Below are 4060 nucleotides of genomic sequence, written 5' to 3'. Positions count from 1 at the left end.
CTGGTGCTCCCCATGGGAATTGTGTGGGTGCAAAGGAGTTTATATATGCTCGGGGCCTACACCTCTTTTGGTGCAGCGCCCGCAGGGGAAAGAAAGCGTTATCTGGGGAGCTGGTACCTGCCTTGAGGAGGTCAGCAGCCCCATGCACCACAAACTCGAGTCTTTAGCACCTTGTGTTTCTGGGGTGAGCCTGGTGGAAACAGGCACTAAAAGCGGGGGTGGTTCATTAGCTGGCCCGAGCTTGCAGACTCCCCTTCCTCCAGGGCATTTCCCAGGGAAACGTGCCCCTTAACTTTGTGCTGTGAGTGAAGGACCCTTGGCGCCGAGATTCCTCCTTGTGAGTACTGTGCTTGGCTTCCCTTCCCTACCACGTGCTCCCGGGGCTCCCACAAGCAAGCTAGCCTCCTATCTGCAGGAACCTGGCCTCCGCTCCCAACCTGTGCCCCATCCCCTGCCTCCTGGCTCACCCCATACGCCTCCCTCCTGGCTCCTCCCCCAACCCAGCCCCCATGCCCCCCACCCCGAAGCCTGATGCCCATCCCCTGCTGCCAGCAATACCGAATGGACAGCTGCAAGGATATGGCTCTGTCCCAGAAGCCGGAGACGCCCTGTGGCCTGGCCCATTCACAGCCCAGCTGCAAGTGAAGGACCTCCAGAGAGTCCATTCACGGCCCGGTTCTGCTGGGTCCAGGGCCAGGCTGTGCCCGCTGGTCCTCCTTCTGCCACTACACATTGGTCTCCTCCTTAACCACCACCTCCTTCTCAGCCATTATGTCTTCCACCATCAGCACCGCCTCCTCTTTCAAGGCCGCCTCCTTGCTCTGTACCCGGGCCGTCCTCTCCAGCAGAGCCTCCCGCCTGAACACTGTGCCCTCCTGGGTACTCCCGCAGACCCCGGTCTGTGCAGCCCAGCCCATCCCCGGCACCACTAGGCTCTGGGGCCGCTCCCCAGGAGGCCCGCTCCCCGGAAGGCCCACAGACCTCGCCCTGCTGAGAACCTAGTCCCACAGGTACGTAGACGCAGGTTTCCTGAAAAGCCCGGCTGGGCCCGCAGATCGCCGCACTTGACCTGGGGCTCAGGTCCCCAGCAGGGTCAACTGCGCACAGGAGCTCAGGAGCCACAGCCCAAGGCCTTGGGCTTGCAGAGCCCCACCAGCAGGCACCGCAGCCGCTGCTGCACGTGCGGGAGCCTCTAGGTCTGCAAGGCAGCGCACAATTGTGTGCACGCAGGATATCGACGGCCAACCTGGCGGCTGGTCTCCGGTGTGCCTAGGGCATAGGACGAGAGGCACTTTGGAATGCTCCCCGGAGTACAGCATCCTCACGGAGGAAGCATGGTACGCGGAGCCTGTATTTGCCTCGACCTGCGAGAGCGCTTGCCGGGGTTCTGGCCTCTAGAGGCGACGACTTCCACCCAAGCATAACCCGGCTACTTTCCTCCCTAGCGTCGGCCCCGACCCACTTTCCCCAGGCCACCCCCACTGCCCTCGCCCCAGCAGCCAGAGAGAGTTCTCCTCTGGATCTGCAATATTCCGTATCATCTACCTGGCTTGCCTAATGAAATGAGATGTTTCATGTGCTCCTTGTGGGTCAATGATTTGCCACATTCAGGATGTCAGTTAGGGCACAGGTCTCCCATGCCCGCAATTCCAAAGGCCACGCAGCCCACGTGTGCCTGGACGCAGCGCTACCTGGCACAAGCTCCAAGGGCTTTTCAGAGGAGGGTTACCCCAGGAGGCTGGGACTGCAGGCCAACCTGGGTTGGTGCCGCCCAGGGAGACGCCCACCGCCCTCCGACTGATTGACCGCGGGGGGAGGCGGGTGGTGTTGGCGCGGCTCCTGGCGCCGTTTGCCTGAAGTCTGTTGGGGGAGCCTGGAGCCCAGTGCATGCGCCCTGAGGGCCCTCCGACCCACAGGCTCCAGTAAGGGCAGCGGCAGGGTTCCTGTGGTGTGGGTCAGGCAGCACAGGCGGTGGTCTGTGGGAGTCCGGAGAAGGGCACTGTCTTCAGGATGGAGGCTGTACAGGAGGGGGCTCCCGGTGCGCAGAGCGGGGAGGCAGCCTTGGAGGAGGAGTTGTGCTGCTGTTAGACAACATAATGGCGGAGACGAAGGTGGTGGCCCAGGAGGAGGCCGACGTGGAGCTGCAGGAGGAGGACCAACGGGCACAGCCTGGCCCTGGGCCCATGACCCCAGAGTCTGCACTGGTGGAGCTGCTGGTCGTTCAGGTGGGGCTGGAGCTGGTTAATGCCCGAGCCAGGAATACCTTTTCTCAGGAGAGGAGAAAGATGGAGCAGAGGCGCAAGCCCCAGCTGGACCGCAGAGGCGCCATCATCCAGAGCATCCCTGGCTTCTGGGCCAGTGTTGCATCATTTTCAGTGTTTCTTCTGCCTATCTAGTTGAGAGGTGCTCTTGGGGAAGTGTAAGTAACTGATGGGCAGCTCGGCGTCGATGTGACCATTTGGGGAAGAAACGTGGGTTGCCACGGACACATGTGGCTGTAAAAAGCCGGAGCAGAGGCGGGTACTATCTTCCTGCATGCAGCGGAGAAACCCTTCGTGATGCTGAGCATCAGACGTTTGGGGCATCTTTTTGAAGAGCAGAAGCGAGTTCTCACCAGAACAGGTTTTTCTGTGAATCAAGATATTGTTAAGGGTGTGTGATTGCTCCCCCTTACTAGTCTGATCTGAGACTGGGAGTCTTTGGGTATAAGCAGATTCTGCCACTCCTTAGACACCAGGAACTCTCTGCAAATTTCCCCTCCCAATATCAGTGCAGTCAGCCTCAGAATTACATACTCTCCGTGAACCCAAGAGTCCTTAATTCAGGGGGAGGGAGAGGGGAAAGGGAGGTCATACATGGAAGCAGATCTGATAAATTCCATACCCCTGCCTTTGGGTGCTCTTAGGCCTTCTTCCCTGTTGTTTCTAGCTTTTCCTTCCATGGCATCTAAAGCCTCTTTGACCTAAATCAAGATTGCGAACCACCCCCAGATGTCAGCCTTGATTATGGGTTTATATGCCCACAGATACATCAATCACATCTCCTGGCACTGCTCTGTAATAGAGAGGCCTGGCCTCTGTGAGTCATGGTTCCTAGGCTCCCATAAAAATTACTTCCTGTTTCAATTCAGTTGAGGGGTGACAGTGAAGAGACTAGAGAACAAGAAGACTAGAGAAGCCAGTGTGTGTCCCTCTCCTTCTCAGCAGGGGATATGTTTCTGCAGTGATTCCATGGCCTGCAGGACATGCTCTCTGTTTTCATTTTCTATTTAGTGACCCTAATCCTAGAATATTCTAATGCTATTTCCTCCAATTGTCTTCTCTAAAGAATTTGGGTATCATTTTTGGAGACTTAAATAAAAACTATTGATATGGAAGGGGGTAGAGAAGTGCTGGGTAGGGGAGGGCATGGTCCTTGGTTAGGGCTCCACCCTCAGACCTGTGTTCACTCACATAGGTGAGGACAAACACTTCTGTTTTCTTGTCCAAATGTTGCATTTCCCAAGACCACCCTGGCCTGCCACACCTCCATCCTGTGATATAAGAAACTCCGATACCCTAGCAGGCAGTGACATACCCGCAGATGTTGAGAGGAACATTTCCCAAGACCACCCTGGCCTGCTACACCTCCATCCTGTGATATAAGAAACCTGGAGACCCTAGCAGGCAGTGACATAGCCGCAGATGTCGAGAGGAACCATCAGCAGAAAAAGACGCAGCAACTGGACCTTGAGAAGACACCAGAGGAAGGAAAGCACAAGGACAGAGGTGGCAGGCCATCCACCTCAGAAGAACATGGAGTCCCATGGGGCTGTGGGAAGAGAGTCCAGAGCTGCCCCATTCCAAGGGAAACCGACCTTCCTGCTCCATCTCCCTTGTGGGTCCCCATCTATCTGCTGAGAGCATCCACTCAATGAAACCTGGCACTTATTCTTCAAGCCCACGTGGGAGCCAATTCTTCAGGTACACCAAGGCAAGAAACCCCGGGATTCAGATAGCCCTCTGTGTTTGCAGTAAGGCAGGGTGTCTGATGGAGCTGACTAACTCAAGCCACCTACGGA

General features: G+C 57.0%; 1 pseudogene; it reads left to right on the top strand.

Moving 5' to 3' along the window:
• Positions 1845-2363, top strand: TSPY19P (testis specific protein Y-linked 19, pseudogene; annotated as a pseudogene).

Source organism: Homo sapiens, chromosome Y, assembly GCF_000001405.40.
Source record: "Homo sapiens chromosome Y, GRCh38.p14 Primary Assembly".
Taxonomy (NCBI): Eukaryota; Metazoa; Chordata; class Mammalia; order Primates; family Hominidae; genus Homo; species Homo sapiens.
This window is presented reverse-complemented; position numbering and strand designations above follow the sequence as displayed.